Raw genomic sequence first — 24,580 nt, 5'->3', positions numbered from 1 at the left:
GGAGTTTACAGATGTGAGCCACCGCGCCAGGGCTGTTTTTAAGGCAAGATGACCGTGAGAGAAAAATGAAAGAACTATATGGCAGGGTAGCTGATGAAGGTCTAAGAGATATGGAGTAGCATTTTTGGCCTTGTTTCTGTGCCAGTCCAGCTGCGGCCTCTGGCATACCTCCCTCCATCCATCTCAGGGGTTTTCTCCGGGTGGAGATGTAGCCGGCAACACCACTGCCCCTCCCCACTCCACAAACAGTGATTCTGATGCATGTCCTCCCCTTGAAGAGCAGCTCCGCCTCTGCCCCCACTGAGAAGGACTATTATAGAAGTTCAGCAGCCAGTGAGAGCTGGAGTGGTCAAGGCTTGCTTTGTAGGTAAAAACCAGATGGCCCTTGATGGATACTTAACATGGAGAAGGAAGGGAGGGAGGGAGGAAGGGAAGGGGAGGAAAGGAAGGAAGGAGAGAGAGGAAAGGAAGGAAGGAGGGAGAGGAAAGGAAGGAAGGAGGGAGAGGAAAGGAAGGAAGGAGAGAGAGGAAAGGAAGGAAGGAGGAAGAGGAAAGGAAGGAAGGAGGGAGAGGAAAGGAAGGAAGGAGGGAGAGGAAAGGAAGGAAGGAGAGAGAGGAAAGGAAGGAAGGAGCAAGAGGAAAGGAAGGAAGGAGCAAGAGGAAAGGAAGGAAGGAAGGAGAGGAAAGGAAGGAAGGAGAGAGAGGAAAGAAAAGGAAAAGAGAGGAAGGAAGATGGGAGGGAGTTCAGGTAAGAACAACAATGTGAAGCACAAGGCCGCAAGGATGTTCTTGAAACCATCACAGAGTCCATGCTGGGAAGGATTACTCCAAGGTTCACTTCAACCAGTGTATTGAGAGCAGTACTCTGTTGGGCACCAAGGATGTGAGTAGATAAGACACAGTCCCTCTTCTGCAGGCTGTTGTGTTGCAGGGGGAGACAGGCAAGGTGGGAGGCTGGAGTGCAGAGGCTCAGGAGGGCCAGGCTGAGTCAAGCTTCCCTGTGCAAAGACAAGAATGGGATTGTTAAGCCCGAGAGCGAGATGATTAAAGCTGGGTGGCACCAAGATGACCGCCGAATGGGCTCGCAGAAGGAAGCGCTGCACCCAAGGGGGTCAGCTAGCTGGCTGTTAAACAGACCTACCTTCCTTACTATGGCCTGGCCTGGTGTGGTGGTGGGAATATGGGAATACGGAGAAGGGAATCCATCCTTCAGGCCTCACGGTCCTTGAAGCAGGGAGCCCGTGGACAGGCTTTCCTAGCAGCACATCATCTGGAAGGTCCCTCGCTACAGTGTTCTTCCATCCAGTCCCACCTCGAGTGGACCAGAAAGCGCCCTCAGTGGGATGGCAGCCATCCTCTGTCATACACTTCCAAAGGGACTTTCCCTTAGAGTTTTCCATTTTTCATAGCCCATTCTCTTCCACAGAGGTCAGATAACTGTTTATTTTATAAAGTTCACATTTTTGAGATTTCTCATCTACTTTAGGGTTTAAACAGTGTCATCGGTGGATGCGTCCTTTTTCCCCAGGAGTCCTGCTTGTTGACTGCCATTTTGTCTGAACTTAGTCCCTGGTTTCCTAAAGGATCTTCCTGCCACCCCCATCCTCCATTGGTCCATAGATTTAAAAAGCTTTTCTTGACGTTGCTCTTGTCACGCAGAATGTAACTGCAATGAACATTCCATCTCTTGTCACTTTGACATGGCTGTTTACCTGGCCACGGGGAACGTCAGCGGAGGCGTGTGTGATGACTGTCAGCACAACACCATGGGGCGCAACTGTGAGCAGTGCAAGCCGTTTTACTACCAGCACCCAGAGAGGGACATCCGAGATCCTAATTTCTGTGAACGTATGTTGAGAAATGTCACTCACTGTGTGGGACCTACTTCAGATTGCCTTCCAAACTGAATAGTCAGTAGTCTCAGAGCTCATAGTATGAGCAGTAAAGCCAGCATTGTTATTGTAATTGCAGTTGAAGACGCTGGGAGTGGAATTTACTTGGTAGTTGTGCTGCTTTTAGTCGACTTTTGTGAGATTTAGAGGGAGGAAGGGAATATATGTATTTATACAAAGATACATTGAGTTTCCTCCTGATTTTAACCTGGTGCTTTGCATTCTTCTCAGGATGTACGTGTGACCCAGCTGGCTCTCAAAATGAGGGAATTTGTGACAGCTATACTGATTTTTCTACTGGTCTCATTGCTGGCCAGTGTCGGTGTAAATTAAATGTGGAAGGAGAACATTGTGATGTTTGCAAAGAAGGCTTCTATGATTTAAGCAGTGAAGATCCATTTGGTTGTAAATGTAGGTCTGTTTGCTAAAAAGTTTGGGAGTTTTCTTGTGTTTGAAATTCCCATTTTACTTTGTAATTCCAAAGCCAGATTATTATTTGAAACTCACGTGGTCTGTGTTTCTCCACTTCATTTTGTTTTAATACAGCTTGTGCTTGCAATCCTCTGGGAACAATTCCTGGAGGGAATCCTTGTGATTCCGAGACAGGTCACTGCTACTGCAAGCGTCTGGTGACAGGACAGCATTGTGACCAGTGCCTGGTAAGTAAATCCTCATTACGTGGGATGGGTGGTTGGTGAGGATGACATGTTTTAATAGAGAAGCCTTTTCGCCATTGTAGAGTCTGCGATCACCCTCACGTGTACGTGTTAAAAGACATGAGTAGACAATGCACACAATAGGAATTACTAATGGATGATTTCACAAGATGTTCACCATCCCTGTTAGAAGTGTAAAGGAAAGCCACAATAAAATACCACTTTTATAGACACAATTAACACAAGTTTTTAAAAATGGGAATGTTTACTATTAGGATATCATGAGGTACTGCTACTTCTTGGCTGCTGGTGGGCATCCATATTGGTTTGTACTTTTGTGAAAAGCATTTTGGAGATACATATCAGTAGCTTGTAGAAATGGGCATACCCTTTGACCCAGTAACCCCACCTCTGGGAATCTATTCTAATGAAATAATCAGAAAATTGGACAAAGATTTATTCTCCAGAAGACTCATTGCATCTTTTATTAATCATAGCAGAAGACTTGGAAACAACAGTGGAAAAATAGTTAAGTGTGGGGACTTCTATACAATGTAATATTTGGTTGCCACTGAAAATGACAATAACATCAGGAAATGCTCATGCTGCTTGCTATATTTAAAAAAAAAAACACACACAGGATATGAATAGTATCTTGATTAAGTAGGAAATAAAATTCATCAAGGAAAACAAAATCTGGAAGGAAATACACCAAAAAGTTCACTGTAATAATTCCAAGTAGGATAATTATGAGATAAGTTTTTAAAAATCTGTATTTTTAATAACATTGTTATACTTTCTAATTTAGGGAGGATTCACTACCCCCAAATTATTACCATTAAATATGTATATTTATATATAATCTTAATATATTCTTAAAGGAGATTTCTGGAAGTCTAAATTGATGAGCCTGGTCAGGTGTGATGACTCATACTTGTAATCTCAGTGCTTTGGGTGGCCAAGGCAGGAGGAATGCTTGAGATCATGAGTTTGAGACCAGCAAGACCCCATCTCTAAAATTTTTTAAAATCATAAATAAAATAGGCTGGGCACAATGGCTCACACCTGTAATCCCACCACTTTGGGAGGCTGAGGCAGGTGGATCACTTGTCAGGAGTTCAAGACTAGCCTGGCCAACATGATGAAACGCCATCTCTACTAAAAATAATAGAAAAATTAGCTGGGTGTGGTGGCACATGCCTGTAATCCCAGCTACTCGGGAGGCTAAGGCAGGAAAATTGCTTGAAACCAGGAGGCGGAGGTTGTAGTGAGCTGGGATCACACCACTGCACTCCAGCCTGGGCAACAGAGCAAGACTTCATCTCAAAAAAATAAATAAAATAAATTGGTGAACCTGTTTTTATATACTCATTTTTGAAGTGCACAGAGCTCCTCTTCCCTACTGTTCCATTTCTCTTTATTTCCATCTCTGGTGCTCTAAAGATCTGATTTCCTCGTGGCTCAGTGGTGAGAATAGTCGTAGCTGTATGCTACATTTCCACATAAATTCTTGGAGGGCTTTCTGTATGGGATTGATGACAGACTGAACTGAGGGCAGATTTAAAGGCCTGCCAAATCCTTGCCATAATTCTCTTACAGCCAGAGTAATTATAATGAGGAAAATTGGTATCTTTACTGCTTGCTCTTCTTAGTTGTTGGATGGAGGTTATCTATAGGGCAGAGCAGCTAGTCTTTGACCTGGCACGATCCTGTGATTGTGAACGGCTCTCTTACGCCAGTGCCTACAGCTCAGGTTTCTTGATTTCAGAATACTCCTTCCTTTTGTTGGCTTTCTGCTTTAATGATGAAAATGAGCATTTGGTGGAACAGCCGAAACAAGCTTTAACTTGCTTGTTGCTGAGTCTGTTGCATAATTACAGAAACCTACCGTTACATGTTTCACGTTTTGTTCTGCAGCCAGAGCACTGGGGCTTAAGCAATGATTTGGATGGATGTCGACCATGTGACTGTGACCTTGGGGGAGCCTTAAACAACAGGTAAATGGAGCTCTACGTATGCTCTTGTCCTCAGTCTTCCAGGAAAGTCATGACTTACAGGAATGGGTGACATTCAGTTGTTTCTCAAAAAGACATGCAAAATATTTTTTGTATGTCTTGATAAATGTGTGTAGGTACCTCTATGGACTAGATTCCCAGTGATGGAACTGCTAAGTCAAAGTACATATGTATTTTTAATTTTAATAGAGAATGTTAGGTTGTTCCAGACATATTGAACTAGTTTATTTTCCTATCAGTTACAAAAGTACCTTTTCCCCCATCCCCAGCAACAGTTGGTATCATCAACCATTTTATTTTTCAACAATCTAAGCACATGGAAAATGGACTCCTGTTTTGATTTGTGTAGAGAATCTTTTCATTTTCTTTTTTTCTTTTTTTTTTTTGTGACTTCCAAGTCCATTAATGAAAATCACATGAGATAATGTTGAGCTACTTAAATATGCTAGTATTCCTTGAATAAATGAAGCATAAAGCTCCACCAGAAGCTATCAGAACACACATTTGGCAAGATGTTAAATCTGTGGGAGTTTAACCACCTTCGAGTCAAAGAGAATGTTGGTCTCTGTTCCTGGCTCAGAGTCAGAACATCTGGAACAGATAGTGTAAGTGACTGCTGAGAGAATAGACAGATGTTTCCCTGTGGCCTTGAGTCTTCCCAGAGAGAACACTCTGAATTCATTGAGCAAGCTTCATGTACTCAAAAATGGACTTTCTTTCCCAATTATTTCCCAACACCATAGTAGTCTGCTGGGAAGGAATGAGGTATTCAGCAGCAAGAACATGTTGTGTTTGTCCTCTTTATTTGGGTTTGTTCTGTTCGAGGTCGTGCCATAGACCCAGTACAGCATGTAGCCTCTGAAATCCGGTGTGAATATCTGTTCTTAGAAAACCTCCAGAGAGGAGGAAGCTAGGATAATTCCATAAAAGCAGGGAAGAAAGACAGAATGCTGTCTGCTTGTGGAATCACTTTTCTGACTTTTCCTTTGTGACTCCCAGAACACATGTTGAATCCTTTAGTAAATGACTCCTCAGTTCAAAGCTGTCATCACTCCTAAAGTCCTTCTTGATGAGATAAAAGTGGCATATGCAATTCCCCAAATTATGTCATAAACTCAGGAATGTCCTATGATTCTTAACCCTAAGTAAGTTTTGTTCCTACACTCCCTTCCTCTTTTTCTCTATTCCATACACACTTCCTGTCTGTCTCCACCCACGCACAGGCCCTAGCCTGCCCTCTAATCTCTTGTGCAAAAATTTATAAAAACCAGAATGTATTCACCAAGAGAGTTTGGGAAGCAAAATTGTCTAGTAAAGATTTTTAAAGCAGGTAATCATCTGATCTTTCTAGCATGATTGATGGGATGCCCTATCTTTGAGAATCATTGGTGGAGGGGAAAAAAAGAACATTTAAAGATGCCTTGTAGTCTGGTGACTCTAGAGTGTTTTATGGTGAGCCTTTTCAAAGTTGTTGTCCCTCAAGAGGAATTTCCCCAGGAGCCCCTTAGGCAGGGTCAACTGAAGCACTGATTCTACTGGGAGATGTGCACAGATGCCGCTTGGGAAATGTTTACTGGATGATTGGTTTGTTGCAATCACTCATCAAAACCTTTTACCTGATATTTCTTTTTACGTAGTAAAAGAAATACGTTGTAGGTACTGAATAAATGCTGATTGAGTAGAATTTAAAAATAAAAGATTTCTAAGATGTTAAAAACTAGATATGTACTCCTTAGAGAGGCAATCTCTAAATGTGATCCCAGACACTCCTTAGTTACTTTGTTGAGGGACAGAATTAACCATAAAAATCACTGGAAGTGGTAAAAGCTTTAAGATGTTTTGTATAGTGAGCTAAATGGATTTTTGGTAGTACAACAAAAGTTTAATAATCCATGTCTATTATATTGACAACTAACCTGAACTTTGGAATAATTAAAGAAGTGGCCAGGCGCGTTGGCTCATGCCTGTAATCCTAGCACTTTGGGAGGCCGGCGCGCCAGATCACCTGAGGTCAGGAGTTCAAGACCAACCAGGCCAACATGGTGAAACCCTGTCTCTACTAAAAATACAAAAATTAGCCAGGCGTGGTGGCACCTACCTGTAATCTCAGCTACTTGGGAGGCTGAGGCAGGGAGAATCGCTTGAACCTAGAAAACAGAGGTTGCAGTGAACCAAGATCACGCCATTGCACTCCAGCCTAGGCAACAGAGCAAGACTCTGTCTCAAAGAAAAAAAAAAAATAATAAGACCTAATTAATTTAAATAATCTAACTGAAGCCAAGTTAATGAAGTTTTGCCTAGTAGATTACCTGTTTTAATGAAAAAGAATTGGCATTGGTTGCTAGGTAAATGCTACTTGTAAATGTTTAATAACATTGAAAAATATAAACATTTTTACAGCATCCTTCAAGATTATTTTAACAATGAAATGTAGAGTTTTCATATCTGGCTTGAAGCCCACCCCCCCCTTTTTTTTTTTTTTTTTGAGACAGAGTTTCGCTTTGTCACCTAGACTGGAGTGCAGTGGCATTGATCTTGGCTCACTGCAACCTCCGCCTCCTGGGTTCAAGCGATTCTCCCACCTCAGCCTCCCGAGTAGTTGGGACTACAGGCACCAGCTACCACACTCAGCTAATTTTTGTATTTTTAGTAGAGACGGGGTTTCACCATGTTGGTCAGGCTGGTCTTGAACTTCTGACCCTCAAGTGATCTGTCTGCCTCAGGCTCCCAATGTGCTGGGATTATAGGCATGAGCCACCATGCCTGGCCCCACCTCTTTTTTGAACTCACCGTGGTGAAGCCCCGAACCCTCCCTTGATGCATTGCTTCTGCATCTCTTTTAGCATTTATTTTGCTCTTATAGTTGTGTTAAAAAGGTCTCTTTGGACAGAGATTATGTCATCTTTGTTTTTGCATCTCACTTGGCACCCAGCACGGTGGACCTGGCAGGTACTCAATAAATGAGGGACTAAAATTTATTGTACTTCGAATCCAGAACGGAAGTTAGTAGATATTTTTATCATTGTATTGAATGACTATGGTGTAGCTAACCCTTTGTTAATTATAATCATGTACTGCATAATAACATTTCAGTCAAGGATGGACCACACATACAACGGTGGTCCCATAAGATACTGTATTTTTACTGTAGCTTTTCTACATTTTGATATGGTTGAATACACAAGTTCTTGTCATTGTGTTACAATTGCCTATGGTATTCAATACAGTAATATGCTGTACAGGTTTGTAGCTTAGGAGCAATAGGCTATACTCTACAGCCTGGGTGTGTAGTAAGCTATACCATCTAGGTTTGTGTAAGTACACTATGATGGTCACACAACAACAAAATTGGCGAACAACACATTTCTCAGAACATATCCCAGTCATTAAGTGACACATGACTATACTGTGATAGAACAGGATTATAGGACGTAGGTCTTACCAAAAAGAAAGTGTCCTAGTTGGGGGTGGGGAGGAATGCCACCCTGAGAAAATGAATGGTGCTGACGGAACACTGTGGTTGGTTATTATGAATGATGTTTTTTATGCTTTAATATTTTTCTGCCTAATTCCTTAGTAATAGGGAAATGTTAAAATTCCATTTTCTTTATTCACCACCATTTAAATGAAATGGAATTTTTAAATGTTGCCAATTTCTATATTTATGATTTTTTTTTTTTTTTTTTGAGACGGAGTCTCGCTCTGTCGCCCAGGCTGGAGTGCAGTGGCGCGATCTTGGCTCACTGCAAGCTCCGCATCCCAGGTTCATGCCATTCTCCCGCCTCAGCCTCCCAAGTAGCTGGGACTACAGGCACCTGCCACCATGCCCGGCTAATTTTTTGTATTTTTAGTGGAGATGGGGTTTCACCGTGTTAGCCAGGATGGTCTCAATCTCCTGACCTCTTGATCCGCTCGCCTCGGACTCCCAAAGTGCTGGGATTACAGGCGTGAGCCACCACACCCAGCCATAAATGTATTTTTTTAAGAAATAATCTTGGCCTTCACCCACTGAGAAAACATAGAGCCTGTATCAGTTTTCTATTGCTGCCATAACAAATTACCACAATTTGGTTGTTTAAAACAATATAAGTTTATTATTTTCCAGTTCTATGTGTCAAATACAGTCTCAGTGGACCAAAATCACGATGTTGGTAGGGCTGCATTGTTTTCTAAGGCTCTAAAGGAGAATCTGTTTCCAGCTAATTTGGGTTGTTGGCAGGATTCTGCTCCTTGCAGTCGTAGGCTGAGGTTCCCCTTCTTTTGCTGGCTGTCATCTAAGGGCTATTCTTGTCCTCTAGAGCTGCCCACATTCCTTGACTCATGGTCCCCTCTCTCCATCTTCAAAGGTACCACTGGGTCAAATCCTTCTTATGTCACAGCTCTCTGACCTACTTACTTCCCTGCCTGCCTCTCCCACTTTTAAGAATTTATGTGATTAGATTGGACCCACCCAGATCATCCAATAATCGCTCCATCTTGATGTCCTTACCCTTAATCACATCTGCAAAGTTCCTTTTGCCATATGAGGTAACATCCCACAGATAACAGGGATGAGGATGTGGACATCTTTGGGGGCCATTATTCTGCCTCACACAGGCCTTATTTATTTTATGTCCTTATTCTCCCTTACTGATTTAATGAAATTGAATCTCTAGTTTACAGAGAAATTTGTAGAGAATACATAAGAATCTAAGATGTGCCATTTCTATCAGATTTGATTTTTACTTGAACACAGGAGAGAGTAATTACATGTAATAAATCATTGGTATCACTGTGAAGAAGCCAGGATTTGTGCTTGAGTTTTGAAAGCTGAGATTTGAAAGGTGCGATTAGTGAGCAGGGGAGGGCCTCCGAGCTGGGAGGGAAAAGATGGGTAAAGGCACAGAGATGGGAATGACTGTAGCAAGGTCGAGATCTGGTCTGATCTTGACCATCTCTGCCCACATTCCCCCATCACCCTCTTTGCTCCTGTTATTCCTGTCCTCTCTCTGCCTGTCAAGTCCTCTCCAGGCTTTAAGGACACCTCTTTCATGACGCCTCCCTCAGTCTTCTCAATCAGATGAATCATATCTTCTTCTCCCTTAGTGCTTTGCTTGTAACTCTATCAATGCATAGGTTCTTACTGCATTTTGATTTGTTGCATTGGTTAATTTCTTTATTGTTTATCCCCAATTAGACTGTAAGTTCTTGAAGACAGGGACTATTTTTTTTTCTATTTCTCTTTCTGTATATCATTTAGCCAGAAATAATAGACTTAGTGAGGAAGTAAGGATTCATTCAGAACAAAGTTCACAATGGACTAAAATGTGAGAATACCTGCACTGGGAAGCAAGGCTGCTAGGGCCAATATTTGATCAGTAAATATTTGCTGAAGAGTATGAGGAGTGTGGCTCATTGGAAAGCAAAGAGTCGGCACCAGAAAGAGAAGCCGTTTTCAGAGGATGGGTTATGGAGGCTGCAGAAAGCCAGGCAGAGGCATCATGGCTTGATATCATAAGAAACAATTGTGGGTTTTCGTGAAACAATGAAAGCAGCACTGTAGGAAGATCGGTTGGCCCGTGGTAGACAGGATGGACTAGGCAGAAGAGGAAGAAGAATTTGAGAGGTCAGTTTAGGAGATTGTTAGAGTAACAGGTATGGGGTGATGCCATCCTGGACTGACGCAGTGGCAGTGGCAGTGACAATGAGAGGAAGCTGCTAAGTTGAGAAACATTTTGAAGTAAAAGCTGAGTATTGGGATAAAGGAAAGAGAAGGTGATGTCTCACCTATACCATGAGAAGAATTTTAAATCTACTGGCAGAAACAGCAGAGCTGAGGATAAGAAGTCAGTGTGGGTGGTGATGATCTGTTTGGGACAAGATGAATTAGAGATGACAGCTGGCCAGTCCATGGAAATGTCCCATTGATGGCTGGAAATAGAGAAGCAGAGCCCAGCCACCTGCTGGGTGCTGAGAGCTGTAGGGTGAGGGCCATCTGCATAGGAAAGCCACAAGAATGAGTTCACTGAAGGAGCCAGTGTTGAATCAGAGCCATGCCTATCTGTGATGACAATTCAAGCCTGTGGACACAGACTTGTGATTGGCAGGGCCGCTGTTAAGGGAATTCCTTTCACATGATCAGCTCTCATGGAGCCATTCCTTGTTTAGAATTGTGCTGCAGATAGAGGCAGCACCGGGAGCCTGCTGGCGCCTTTGTCCTCACCTTCATTTGCTCGTTCTCTAATGGTTGCATGTGAAGGTCTAGTTGTTTTCTTCTTTGGTGGTTCATGTTTTGGATATTTGTTGTCTCAGTAAACATCTGGGGAGGAAAGAATTTTCTTTTGTCCATATGATGTAATGTCTGATGCCTGAATTTCTGAAAATAGCTTTTGTTCATGGACTGTGCCAAAAGAAGGCTAGGTCCTAATTGGAACAAGCTTTCCTTTCTTGGGAATTGGCTATGGGACGTTAAGAATTCCTATTCCTGGCTGGGCGTGGTGGCTTACACCTGTAATCCCAGCACTTTGGGAGACCGAAGCAGATGGATCACGAGGTCAGGAGATTGAGACCAGCCTGGCCAATATGGTGAAACCCTGTCTCTACTAAAAATACAAAAATTAGCCAGGCATGGTGGCAGTCGCCTATAGTCCCAGCTACTCAGGAGGCTGAGGTGGGAGAATCGCTTGAACCCAAGAGGCGGAGGTTGCAGTGAACCGAGATCGTTCCACTGTACTCCAGCGTGGGCGACAGTGCGAGACTCCATCTCAAAAATAAAAAAATAATAATAATAAAAAGAGTTCCTATTCCTGTAGGATAACAACATGATACACAAAAAGAGGACTTCAGCTATGCTGCGGCAGGGTCGTTTAGGATTTTATTTATTTATTTATTTATTTTGAGATGAAGTCTCACTCTGTCACCCAGGCTGGAGTGCAATGGCATGATCTCGGCTCACTGCAACTTCCACCTCCTGGTTTCAAGTGATTCTCCTGTCTCAGCCTCCCGAGTAGCTGAGATTACAGGTGTGTGCCCCTACACCTGGCTAATTTTTTGTATTTTCAGTAGAGACGGGGTTTCACCATGTTGGCCAGGCTGGTCTCAAACTCCTGCAAGTGATCCACCTGCCTTGGCCTCCCAAAGTGTGGGATTATAGACGTGAGCCACTGCGCACCCGGCCTTGGGACATTTTTAATAAGCCTGTGAGTGCAAAGTGTTCCTGTGAGTTGCAACTTGCCTTAGGTACCTTGTTTAAAACTTTGGGATGAGAAAAAAAGAAAGAACAAACCTTGAGAATGAGTTGAAAGTAACAATTCCAAACCACAGCTCTTCTTTAAGTGAAGTAAAAATGGATACATGTAATTTGAGTTTTGTATTGTATACAAAATTATGATACTAATAAAAGGGACATAAGCTGAGAACAGAAGTTTCACTCTTGTTGCCCAGGCTGGAGTGCAATGGCGTGATCTCAGCTCACCTCAACCTCTGCCTCCCGGGTTCAAGCGATTCTCGTGCCTCAGCCTCCCAAGTATCTGGGATTACAGGCCTGCGCCACCACGCCCAGCTAATTTTGTATTTTTAGTAGAGATGGGGTTTCTCCATGTTGGTGAGGCTGGTCTCGAACTCCCAACCTCAGGTGATCCGCCTGTCTCGGCCTCCCAAAGTGCTGAGATTACAGGCGTGAGCCACCGTGCCCAGCCGCATTTCTTATATTTAGCATAGCATAGCCAATGGAAAGGGGGAAGAGAGACACAAGATGCAGAAGTAAAAATCACAGAATTTGGTTCCTGATGGAGTGTGAAGAAAGAATCTGGAGAAGAACGGGGACTAAATTTCTGACTTGGTTGACTCAGCAGGTGGTAGTGCCTTCACCCTGATAGAGACCATCCGAGGGATTGAGGGCTTCTGTCTTAGATCCGTTGGTTTGGGATGCTCTGGGACAGCCAAGCTGGAGATGTTCTTCAGGGAGCTGGATATTTGAGCCTAAATCTCAGGAAATAAGCAAAAGATGTAACATGCCAAAGCAAGAAGGTTTGGGATGTGGAAAACCTTCATGTGATGCGGACGGCGTGTTAGTCAAGAGAGGGCAAGGGAGGTAAAACCGAGAAGACCAGGTTCTCAGCCACGCTTCTGGAGTTTGGGATTAATCCATAGGCACTACTTTTTTCCACATATGTATTTTCTGAAGAAAACAAGAACATGCTATGTATTTGGTCCTGTGTACTGAGTAATGGCAGCTGTAGAGCTGCTTCTGGCGGGTTGACTCGCGTGACCATGAACTCAGCTGATGTGGCTCCTCCTCCCTTCCAGTTGCTTTGCGGAGTCAGGCCAGTGCTCATGCCGGCCTCACATGATTGGACGTCAGTGCAACGAAGTGGAACCTGGTTACTACTTTGCCACCCTGGATCACTACCTCTATGAAGCGGAGGAAGCCAACTTGGGGCCTGTGAGTAGGGGAGTGTGTGGCAGGTCGGTAAAGCAGTGTTTTGGGGTGTAGTGGAACATACATGCTTTGTAAAGACCCCATTTCAGAAGCATTTTTATAGCTTTGTCAGTGAGCACAAAATAAGGATCAGGACCATGCCTTCCTGAGAAGAGTCATATTTAAAGCTAAGTAATTCTATAACTCACAAATTGGCTTTGGAGCATTCACTGATAAGGCTTTTGGTTGGTTTAAGAAATGTGTCTTTACAAGAAACTTTTCTTCTCTCTACTTATGCTCCAAAGTTATCAACCTAGCATGGTAAATACTGAGGCAAGGATATTTTTTCATCTATTCATCCCCAAATTTAGTGACTTTAAATGTATGCCTGGCTCTTGAGCTGGGGTGGCTGAAACAGCTGGAGGCTGGCTGGGCATTTCTCTCCACACGAACACGACCTTTCTTTTTTCTTTTTTTCGAGACTGAGTTTCGCTCTTATTGCCCAGGCTGGAGTGCAGTGGCACTATCTCAGCTCACCACAACCTCCGCCTGCTGGGTTGAAGCGATTCTCCTGCTTCAGCTTCCCGAGTAGCTCGATTATAGGCATGTGCCACCACGCCTGGCTAATTTTGTATTTTTAGTAGGGATGGGGTTTCATCATGTTGGTCAGGCTGGTCTCGAACTCCCGACCTCAGGTGATCCGCCCGCCTTGGCCTCCCAAAGTGTTGGGATTACAGGCGTGAGCCACTGTGCCTGGCGATAGTGAGATTTCTTAGATGGCTTCCAGCTTCCAAAAAGAGGAAACAAGCTGCCAGCTCTCTGAAAGCTTGGACTCAGAAGTCCTAGAAAGTTCCTCAGGTTCTGTTGGTCACAAGTCACAAGGATTCATGGAAAGGATAACATAGTTTGCACCTCTTGATGGGTAAGGCCACACACGGGTACATACAGATACATACAGGGAATGAAAGAGTTGATCCCAGCCATTTTTGGATATGACCAACCACAGGTATTAAAAAATAACCCTGTAAACAATTAATCAGAATTAACTCATCAGTTGTGAACATTCATTATATCAAGTTTCTTCACTTGAAAATGGAGCCTGAAACTAATGCCAGTATGAGAGACAGAAATCCACTAGATACTGGACTAACCTTATGGAGAATCTGGGAAGCACCTTATGATTCCTAGACTTGCTTATAACGGCATGTGGGATGTTCTCTTTTTTCTTTTATGCTTACTCTCCTGGTCATATCAAATAAGGTATATCCCAAGCCTTTGAGTGCTATATCCAGTGTCCCAAGACTGCTCCAACCACAAAACTAAAAAGAAACCAGTTTCCTGTTTGGATATCAGAAACTTTTTACAATCTATTAGGGGAGATTTGACTATAAAAAATAGACATAAGGTAGCCACCCTTTTTGAATCTTTGGGTGACTTCGGATTACTTTGACTATTGAAAATTATTGAATTCCATTTCAAATACAGAATAACCATTGTTTGCCATGCCCTCAGGGGGTTAGCATAGTGGAGCGGCAATATATCCAGGACCGGATTCCCTCCTGGACTGGAGCCGGCTTCGTCCGAGTGCCTGAAGGGGCTTATTTGGAGTTTTTCATTGACAACATACCATATTCCATGGAGTACGACATCCTAATTCGCTACGAGCCACAGGTAAAGAAACCACTTAGTGGACTGGTGGAGGAGGGAGGGGAGAATCAGTAGAAAAATAGTACTTCTAATGGGTATTATATATAGTTATGAAATATGGAGGTTGCATTAGAACAGATCAGATTCCTATAGTCTCACCTCCTCCATGGAAGTTAAAATAAATGTACCATTTTCTTTCTTTCTTTTTTTTTTTTTTTTTTGAGTCTCGCTCTGTTGTCCAGGCTGGAGTGCAGTGGTGCCATCTCGGCTCACTGCAATCTCCGCCTCCCGGGTTCAAGCGATTCTCCTGCCTCAGCCTCCTGAGTAGCTGGGATTACAGGCATGCGCCACCATGCCCAGCTAATTTTTGTATTTTTAATAGAGACGGGGTTTCGCCATGTTGGCCAGGCTGATCTTGAACTCCTGACCTCAGGTGATTCGCCCGCCTCAGCCTCCCAAAGTGCTGGGATTACAGGCGTGAGCCACCACACCCAGTCAAAACGTACCATTTTCTTGAATCCAGTTTCTCAAACGTAGTGATCTTTTGTGAGGCACTCAACCTTGCTGACGACTGAGGTGGTGATGAGGATGTATGAGATCCTCTCCTTCCCTCACAACCTGGCTGTGCAGTGACAGACTGAAGCCCCGAACTGTAACGAAAGACTGAAGGTGACGGTGTAACAGCAGAGAGATGCATGATCCTAGAAGATGGGCATGCACCAGCCAGCCCGAGCCAGGGCTACCAAAACGTTTTCCTAGAGAATCAGAGCTAGGCCTTAAAGTGTGAATGGAATTGTGGAAAGTTGGCACAAAAGTAAGAAATAGTGTGAGTGGAAGAGAGAAGAGAGGGTTTTGTTTTTATTGAGAATCATTCCACATAGCTTGATGAGAGATATGGTTGGAGATGCTGTTGGCAAAAATACTAGGATTAGTAAAGGAATTTGGACTATAATATTCACAGGAAGCTATTGAAGCATTTCAAGCAGGGGATTGTCATTATCTGAGCTGCTTTAAAGTGGACTGAAAGGGACATTGGGAAGAGGCAGAAAACAGTTGAGAGGTGTTTCAGCATCCAGGGCAGAAGGGATTTGGGCTGGAACCAGGGGAGTAGCAGAGGTAGTAGTAAAGAGAAAAGTGAAGAGCAACTGTTTGTTTTCCATTTCAACTTGGCAATTGATTGATTCAGAGAGGTCTTTTTATAAACAGGCAGTGGTGGGCTAACTATCTTTTCATTGTTTGTTTCTTATTCTAGCTACCCGACCACTGGGAAAAAGCTGTCATCACAGTGCAGCGACCTGGAAGGATTCCAACCAGCAGCCGATGTGGTAATACCATCCCCGATGATGACAACCAGGTGGTGTCATTATCACCAGGCTCAAGGTCAGTGTGACGGTGGTTTGGCAGCTCAACGGGCTTCATATGCAAATTAGTATTTTTCTAATATTTTGCGAGTTTTCAAGTCACCATTTCAGAGCCAGACGTTGACTGCTGACTTTTTTCCTTTGGAATTATCGATGCAGAGCTTTGTTTTTAATTTTTATTTTTTGGATGCATGAAGGTTGACTTTCGTTGTTGTCTTTCTTTTTTGTTTGGGGGCAGATATGTCGTCCTTCCTCGGCCGGTGTGCTTTGAGAAGGGAACAAACTACACGGTGAGGTTGGAGCTGCCTCAGTACACCTCCTCTGATAGCGACGTGGAGAGCCCCTACACGCTGATCGATTCTGTAAGTGCGAGATTGCTTCTGGCATATGCAGGAAAGCCTGGGCGGAAAGTGCCCAGCTGCTCTCAGGGTGTTTTGTTGAGGGGTAATGCTGAGGCCAGCGTAAGCAGAATCATTCTTTCTTGCCTCCACGGTTACTTTGCTTATACTCCACCCCATGGAAAGGATTTATTCCTTCTAAAAATATAAAATGTCTTTTAAAAAAAACAGCATTTCACTAGGCGTAGTGACTCACACCTGTAATCCCAACACTTTGGGATGCTGAGGCAGGAGGATCATTTGAGGCCAGGAGTTCAAGACCAGCCTGGGCGACAAAGCAAGACCCCATCTCTAAAATAAAAATAAATAGCATTTAAAAGCCATCAAGCTGTGTAAAACATATCTAAAATTTCCTGCCAAGAGTATTTAGGAATAGGGAGGTTTATACTTTATTTAATGAGTCTAATGATTTCTGTTCAAGGGTCAAAGAAGCATTTGGGTTTTCTACACGTTTGCTTGCTTAAACCCATGCCATGGGGCACCACTGTAAGGATGTTTGGCCGTTCTCATTTCTTCACAGCTTGTTCTCATGCCATACTGTAAATCACTGGACATCTTCACCGTGGGAGGTTCAGGAGATGGGGTGGTCACCAACAGTGCCTGGGAAACCTTTCAGAGATACCGATGTCTAGAGAACAGCAGAAGCGTTGTGAAAACACCGATGACAGATGTTTGCAGAAACATCATCTTTAGCATTTCTGCCCTGTTACACCAGACAGGCCTGGGTAGGTATTGCTGGGCAGCTGCAGCAGCTGCTGTTTCTGGCTCTGAGTATATCTGGCACATGAAGTACAGTGGAGTGCCCACCCCCTAGCCCTGTGTTAGGCAGCACAAGGGAAATAGTGTCTCAGTTACAGTTTGTCTTTATCTTTTTAAGTAATATTTCAGTGAAAGAGCACCACTGAAGATGGAATTGATATTCAAGAAATATGCAAATAACAGGTGACCAGGGGAAAAGTCCATGAGGATAAAGCATTTCCATAAGCAGGGTAGGGAGAGGGGAATGGAATCAGAGAAGCATCAAATACCTGAAATGTATGTTTTTCTCTTTGAAACGTCAGACCATCCTCTGAAGGTCACTGGGCTTTGGTCTAATGTCCTGTGATATTTGAGCTTTGAAGGCAAGGGGAGAAAACATTAATGACCTCCTGCCTAGAAAAACTGTTTTGATCTGCCAACTCTGCCTCCCCTTTCTTCCCTTCCGCTCATCATAGGGATGATACTGTTTTAAACCAGAACTCTGAATAATCCAAAGTAGTTAAAGGAGAAAGGATCAGGGAGAGCCCGATGATGTGCTGCTCCGTGTCATGGGTTCTGGCCTCTCTTTACCCACAGCTTGTGAATGCGACCCTCAGGGTTCGTTAAGTTCCGTGTGTGATCCCAACGGAGGCCAGTGCCAGTGCCGGCCCAACGTGGTTGGAAGAACCTGCAACAGATGTGCACCTGGAACTTTTGGCTTTGGCCCCAGTGGATGCAAACGTAGGTTCCTCAAAAGCATTGTTATGCATTCATTCAGATTAACTCAGCCATTGTGGCAGGGTTCCATTGCTGCAGAGCCGATGCTTCCCTCCTGAAGTTGATCACACCAACCCATGAGCATTCTGAATTGGGGACAGGGTGCTTATAAAAGGAGCATGTTTCCATTGAATGAGTTTCTCAAGGCAGTTCCTTGTTTGCCTGTTTCTTTAGCTTGTGAGTGCCATCTGCAAGGATCTGTCAATGCCTTCTGCAATCCCGTCACTGGCCAGTGCCACTGTTTCCAGGGAGTGTATGCTCGGCAGTGTGATCGGTGCTTACCTGGGCACTGGGGCTTTCCAAGTTGCCAGCCCTGCCAGTGCAATGGCCACGCCGATGACTGCGACCCAGTGACTGGGGAGTGCTTGAACTGCCAGGACTACACCATGGGTCATAACTGTGAAAGGTATGCAGATGCTGAAAGTAAGGAGAATGTAGTGATCTCTGGCTGAGCAGACAGCATCTTAGACCAACCACAGAATTCATCTCCACCAGGCTTCAGCTCGCTCATTCATTTCTGACCACCTCACTATTTTCTAGGATCTTGTTTGTTTATCCAGTACATATTGAGTTGACATCCTCTATGTGCCAGGCACCGTTCTGGTGCTGGAGATACCGCAGAGAACAAAACTGACATGAATCCGTCCTCTTGGCGAGTCACCCTAGAGCTTACCATAGGGCTGTATAGAAATTCTGTCTGTCTCAGCAGATTCTGGCGGAGGATAAGAGTTGTGAAATGCTCCTGCCTAATTTAGGCGAAAGGAGAAACTAATCCAAATGGGATTAGTCATTTTAAATAGCTTTGTTTTTCAGAACGTTTTATGCAACTACAGTTTCCAGGAGACTCTATAAAACATGCCTAAGTAGATCTGTTCTCCAGTTAGCAAATGTCAGTTGAATAATCATTATGGATGTGCTAGATGTAGAGTAAGAATAGGAGAGAGAATATACCTCCATAACATTAATAGGATAGCTCAATAGATAAAAAATACTCCGTATGAAAAAGTTACCTGCTGACTTACACTGTTTATTACTAATTAAGAAATGCAGACAGTACTGTTAGAACTGGCTTTTTGGGCGTAATAGTCTCCACCTTTTCACTGTGATAATTTTTCTCTCTTCCAACATCCATTCGCCCTATCGAAGATATTTGTTTTTAAAAGTCACTTGTGAAACATTGCAGCAAGTGCTTCAGTCAGTGGTGAAGTTACTCATCAGGTGAAAGAGAAATTGTTAGTGAAAAACTGAGTATGTGATTAACTTTTGGCATGAAGATGTTCATGGAGGCAAACACGTGGCTCTCGGCTCAATGCTAGAACGGTACTCAAGAATTTGGAGGTCCCACGGACTACCCTTTGAATAAAAATTATCCCTTCCAACCTTAAAATTGTGTTGTAGAAAGATAGCAAGGACACAGTTATACAACAGTGAAAGGAGGAAATTAATATTTTGGGGTCATCTTTTTCTTTTCAGCCGTTTTCCATTATTGTTTTTTCAAAGAGAGATGGAGAATAAGTACGAGAGAAAGATATGAGAAAACAGAGAAAGACATGAGAAAAAGATTAACAGGGAGCAGAGAGAGGAGGGGGAACAGAAGCAAACAGCAAAGGGAGCTGCCACAATGCTGATTCAGAATCAGCACTCACACTGTAGAATGCATTTGAACGAACATCATGTCAGAATGGCATAGTTGATATCTGTGACCAGCTTTGGATTTTATTTGTAAAGGGTTTTGAGAATGAGAAAGGGTATGGGAGAAGGAAGATTTTTAACAATAGGTTTGGGTGGCAAACACTTGATTTTAAGTATTTGGAATTCTACTATCTAGTTTGAGCCAGTTTCTCATCATTCTTTTTTCTCATTCCAAGATAACCAGAGTTTCAATCCTGTGAATTTACAAAAAAACTCTACACTTAGATTGTCCCCAAGGGGAGGCAAGAAATGAACACTCAGTTTCTATCATGATGTATTTGGATTGCCTCCAAAAGACTTGAGAAACAAATTGAATTGGAAATCCTTGGACCTCAGTTCCTGGCCCAATTCTGCTTCTAACTTGCTTTCTAACCTTGGGTGAGTTAGGATATCCAGCTTCTAGAAAATTTTTTTGAGACGGAGTTTTGCTCTTGTTGCCCAGGCTGAAGTACAGTGGTGCAATCTCAGCTCACTGCAACCTCTGACTCGCAGGTTCAAGCAATTCTCCTGCCTCAGCCTCCCAAGTAGCTGGGATTACAGGCTTTTTGTTGTTGTTGTTGTTTGTTTGTTTTGAGATGGAGTCTCATTCTGTTGCTCAGGCTGGAGTGCAATGGTGCGATCTTGGCTCACTGCAACCTCTGCCTCCTGGGTTCAGGTGATTCTCCTGTCTCAGCCTCCCAAGTAGCTGGGATTACAGGCACAGGCCACCATGCCTGGCTAATCTTTTGTATTTTTAAGGGAGATGGGGTTTCACCATGTTGGCCAGGCTGGTCTCAAACTCCCAACCTCAGGTGATCCACCCGCTGCAGCCTCCCAAAATGCTGGGATTACAGGGGTGAGCCACCGCACCTGGCCGGAATATCCAGCTTTTCATAAGTAGAATAACTAGGTTGGATGAGATTGTCTCCAAAGTTCCTTCAAGATGTTATGTTGTAGGACATAAAAAAGTAACATAATTACCATTCACCTTGACAAGCAGGCTAACATAGTAAAAGAATGTATTGCTTTAAGGACCCCAAATTCAAATTCTGGCTCATTATTTAACTAGTTGTATAAACTTTGAGAATCCTTTGACCTCCCTGTATTTGTTATCTTTAAAGAGTGGGATTGACATGTTGGATATGGGAATTAATAAGTAACATGACCCATCCCTGCCTGAGTTTGGAACCACCTGAGAGACAAACACAGGGGCTACACAGCTGGAGAGCACCCCTGTCACCCCCTCAGCTCCAGTACTGGGAAAAGCTGGGTTATAGCACATGGCTTTAGACCTGTGGCCACCGTGGGCTTGCCAACACATCACCCCTCTCAGGCATAGGCAGAGGCTGACAGGTATAAGCCCCGCCTAGGAGGACAGACTCTGTAATACAAGGAGGGAGCAGAACTGAATGGTCAGGACAGGCAGGCAGCTGATAGAACAATCAAGTGCACATGGGGAGAGGTGGCTCTTCCTCTGGGGAGCAGTGAGTGAGGGGCCAGATGAAGCCATGGGTGTCACTCGAACGCAGTGGTCCTGCAAGTAGGATCCCTAGATCAGCAGCATCAATATTATCGGGGACCTACTGAATCAGAAACTCGGTGGGAGGAGCCCAGTCATCTGTTTCAGGTGATTGTGATTGAAGCTAAAGTTTGAGAACCACTGTTCCCATAGTAAATCTTCCACATGAAAACATAAAGAGAGGTGGGCAGATCACCTGAGGTCAGGAGTTTGAGACCAGCTTGACCAACATGGTGAAACCCCATCTCTACTAAAAATATAAAAATTAGGCTGGGTATGGTGGCTCACACCTGTAATCCCAGCACTTTGGGAGGCTGAGGTGGGTGGATCACCTGAGATCAGGAGTTCAAGACCAGCCTGGCCAACATGGTGAAACCCTGTCTCTACTAAAAATACAAAAATTAGCCGGGCATGGTGGTGCATGCCTATAATCCCAGCTACCTGGGAGGCTGAGGCAGGAGAATTGTTTGAACCAGGAGGTGGAGGTTGCAGCGTGCTGAGATCGTGCCACTGCACTCCAGCCTGCGCAACAGAGCGCGACTCCATCTCAAAAACAAACAAAAAAACAGCCAGGTGTGGTGGTGTGTGCCTGTAGTCCCAGCTACTTGGGAGGCTGAGGCAGGAGAATCACTTGAACCCAAAAAACAGAGGTTACAGTGAGCTGAGATAGTGCCACTGCACTCCAGCCTGGGTGACAGAGCAAGATTCTGTCTCAAAGAAAACATGAGGAGTGGAGAAGAGTGTGCCCAAACAGAACAGTTTTCAAGACTTTCCTTGGAACAGGTTTCTTAGAACTGTGGGGTCATGGCCTGTTCTCTTCTGTGACTGATGCAGGTGCTTGGCTGGTTACTATGGCGACCCCATCATTGGGTCAGGAGATCACTGCCGCCCTTGCCCTTGCCCAGATGGTCCCGACAGTGGACGCCAGTTTGCCAGGAGCTGCTACCAAGATCCTGTTACTTTACAGCTTGCCTGTGTTTGTGATCCTGGATACATTGGTAAGTCGTGTGCATACTTTGGGAGGCAAAGAGAGAGAAAAAGATGTCTTTATGAGTTCATTGTTAATGAGAAAAAAAGATGCAAAGTGAACCAATTAAGTCTACTTTTATAATTTTTAATTAAAAATTAGAAAAGATGCTCTTTTCCTATTTGGCACATGGAGTGGAGTCAATTCATATTGAGTCTCTGATAAGAACGTTATAACACAAAGCAGGAAAGTAAGCTCGTGGAAATCTAGAAACCCTGTGGAACACTTTTCTGTTATTAAACATTAGAAAGATTAACTTAAGTTTTACTCCTGCCTTTCTTTATCCAACTCCTAGCAAAAGTATCTCAAAGCTGTGAGGTTACCAAATAGTAGTCAGAAGAAAGAAATAATATCATCCAGGGAATCACAAGATGGCCGAATATATTCTTCACTGTTAATGATACTCACATTATCTATCAAGATTCAATTAATCTAGCTGGGTTGTTAAAAACTCCCTCTTATTTCATCCTTGAAGCCACTGTTACAAATACTGATTATGTTTATATGTAACTCAGTAAAATTTTTTTGCATATAATTTCAGAATTTCTTAGGGAAATTGGTCATCATTAAAGATCCCATTTTTCAGGTTGCTCACAGAGGAGTGGTAACTTTTCAGTTTCTGTAATTCTTTGTTTTGTTTTGTTTTTGAGACGGGGTCTCACTCTGTCACCCAGGCTGGAGTGCAGTGGCACAATCTGGGCTCACTGCAAGCTCCGCCTCCCAGGTTCACGCCATTCTCCAGCCTCAGCCTCCCGAGTAGCTGGGGCTACAGGCACCTGCCACCATGCCCCACCACCACGCCTGGCTAATTTTGTTTTTGTATTTTTGGTAGAGATGGGGTTTCACCATGTTAGCCAGGATGGTCTCGATCTCCTGACTTCGTGATCCACCCACCTCGGCCTCCCAAAGTGCTGGGATTACAGGCGTGAGCCACTGCGCCCAGCCCACTTTCTGTAATTCTTGAATTAGGCTGGGTGTGGTGGCTCATGCTTGTAGTTCCAGCACTTTGGGAGGCTGAGGCAGGAGGATTGCTTGAGCCCAGGAGTAAGAGACCAGCGTGGGCAAGATGGCGAGACACCATCTCTCCAAAAAAAAAAAAAAAAAAATTTTACAAAATTAGTCAGGTGTAGTGCCGCAAACCTGTAGTCCCAGCTGCTGGGAAAGCTGAAGTGGGAGAATTCCTTGAGCCCGGAAATTCAGGGCTGCAGTGAGCTATTATCATGTCACTGCATTCCAACCTGGGTGATAAAGCAAGGCCCCATGTCTTAAAAAAATGTAATCCTTGGATTAGGATTTCTACATGAAGCTATGCTTTACATTGTTAGTTTGCTCCCAACATGCTCCACCCCCATGTGCTCAGAAGCTAAAGTCTCATGTGCTAGGACCTAACTGTCCACAGCCGCTGTGGCCTCTGGGGCAGTTGCAACACTGTTAGAGACTACAAAACATTAGATTGGTGCAAAAAGTTACTATGGTTTTTGCCACTGAAAGTAATACTGCCTTCCTCTCACAACTCAAAGCCTATTCTTTCCCCTTCAGATGTGATCACCCTGGGCTCTTTAAACAGTGCAGTGAAGATGAAGCACCGCCACGATCAGCTCTCTCTAGGCATGAGTGTCGGTGCACTGGTGAGCTTTCAGTCAATAAGCTAAACATCTTGTGTTTGGTTTTATCGGGTGACAGGTTCCAGATGTGACGACTGTGCCTCAGGATACTTTGGCAATCCATCAGAAGTTGGGGGGTCGTGTCAGCCTTGCCAGTGTCACAACAACATTGACACGACAGACCCAGAAGCCTGTGACAAGGAGACTGGGAGGTGTCTCAAGTGCCTGTACCACACGGAAGGGGAACACTGTCAGTTCTGCCGGTTTGGATACTATGGTGATGCCCTCCAGCAGGACTGTCGAAGTAAGATGCACATTTATTCTGCCCACTTCTTAGAATGACTTCCACCTTTTTTTCATTATCAGCAGATTTTATTCTTCCTGTATTTATTTCACTTGGGAAAACACTTGTTCAGAGAGGTAAAATTTCACTTTCAACTAAGGAAAGATGAGACCAATTTTTTTTTTTTTTTTAATGAGACAGAGTCTCACTCTATCACCCAGGCTGGAGTGCAGTGGCATGATCTCAGCTCACTATAACCTCTGCCTCCAGAGTTCAAGTGATTCTCATGCCTCAGCCTCCCGAGTAGGTGGGATTGCAGGCACCCCCCACCATGCCCAGGTAATTTTTGTATTTTTAATAGAGACGGGGTTTCACCATGTTGGTCAGGTTGGTCTCGAACTCCTGACCTCAGGTGATCCACCCGCCTCGGCCTTCCAAAGTGCTGGGATTACAGGCGTGAGCCGTTGCACCTGGTCATTTTTATTTTTTTCTTTACATCCACATTTTCTGGCAGGAGTGAGGTCTCAAGATGTGACTCAGTGCCTGGGAGAGATAACAGGAAAGAAAAACCATGTAGCTGTCCCCATGATAAAT

At 44.0% G+C, this 24,580-nt stretch overlaps 1 protein-coding gene across 3 annotated transcripts in view, besides 3 other annotated features; it reads left to right on the top strand.

Moving 5' to 3' along the window:
* Positions 1-24,580, top strand: part of LAMB1 (laminin subunit beta 1) — a 79,363-nt gene that overhangs the window by 25,625 nt on the left and 29,158 nt on the right. For all 3 annotated transcript variants that reach the window (NM_002291.3, XM_047420359.1, XM_047420360.1), the window contains exons 10-22: positions 1,660-1,848; positions 2,124-2,303; positions 2,439-2,551; positions 4,466-4,545; positions 12,850-12,985; positions 14,474-14,632; positions 15,861-15,988; positions 16,208-16,331; positions 16,888-17,092; positions 17,703-17,846; positions 18,057-18,288; positions 21,907-22,070; positions 23,783-24,007. In NM_002291.3, the coding sequence (NP_002282.2) occupies positions 1,660-1,848; positions 2,124-2,303; positions 2,439-2,551; positions 4,466-4,545; positions 12,850-12,985; positions 14,474-14,632; positions 15,861-15,988; positions 16,208-16,331; positions 16,888-17,092; positions 17,703-17,846; positions 18,057-18,288; positions 21,907-22,070; positions 23,783-24,007 (2,079 nt within the window). The remainder of the gene's footprint in view (positions 1-1,659; positions 1,849-2,123; positions 2,304-2,438; positions 2,552-4,465; positions 4,546-12,849; positions 12,986-14,473; positions 14,633-15,860; positions 15,989-16,207; positions 16,332-16,887; positions 17,093-17,702; positions 17,847-18,056; positions 18,289-21,906; positions 22,071-23,782; positions 24,008-24,580) is intronic.
* Positions 659-1,159: an enhancer, noted in NCBI's record as "H3K4me1 hESC enhancer chr7:107616823-107617323 (GRCh37/hg19 assembly coordinates)". NCBI's record gives its function as "activates a minimal SCP1, AML or CMV promoter by ChIP-STARR-seq in primed H9 embryonic stem cells {active_cell/tissue: H9 hESC(primed)}" and the evidence as "EXISTENCE:reporter gene assay evidence [ECO:0000049][PMID:30033119]".
* Positions 22,433-22,975: an enhancer, noted in NCBI's record as "H3K27ac-H3K4me1 hESC enhancer chr7:107595007-107595549 (GRCh37/hg19 assembly coordinates)". NCBI's record gives its function as "activates a minimal SCP1, AML or CMV promoter by ChIP-STARR-seq in naive H9 embryonic stem cells {active_cell/tissue: H9 hESC(naive)}" and the evidence as "EXISTENCE:reporter gene assay evidence [ECO:0000049][PMID:30033119]".
* Positions 23,520-24,063: an enhancer, noted in NCBI's record as "H3K27ac-H3K4me1 hESC enhancer chr7:107593919-107594462 (GRCh37/hg19 assembly coordinates)". NCBI's record gives its function as "activates a minimal SCP1, AML or CMV promoter by ChIP-STARR-seq in primed H9 embryonic stem cells {active_cell/tissue: H9 hESC(primed)}" and the evidence as "EXISTENCE:reporter gene assay evidence [ECO:0000049][PMID:30033119]".

Source organism: Homo sapiens, chromosome 7 (assembly GCF_000001405.40).
Source record: "Homo sapiens chromosome 7, GRCh38.p14 Primary Assembly".
Classification (NCBI taxonomy): domain Eukaryota; kingdom Metazoa; phylum Chordata; class Mammalia; order Primates; family Hominidae; genus Homo; species Homo sapiens.
The sequence above is the reverse complement of the archived record's forward strand: the minus strand, read 5'-3'. Positions and strand labels throughout refer to the sequence as shown.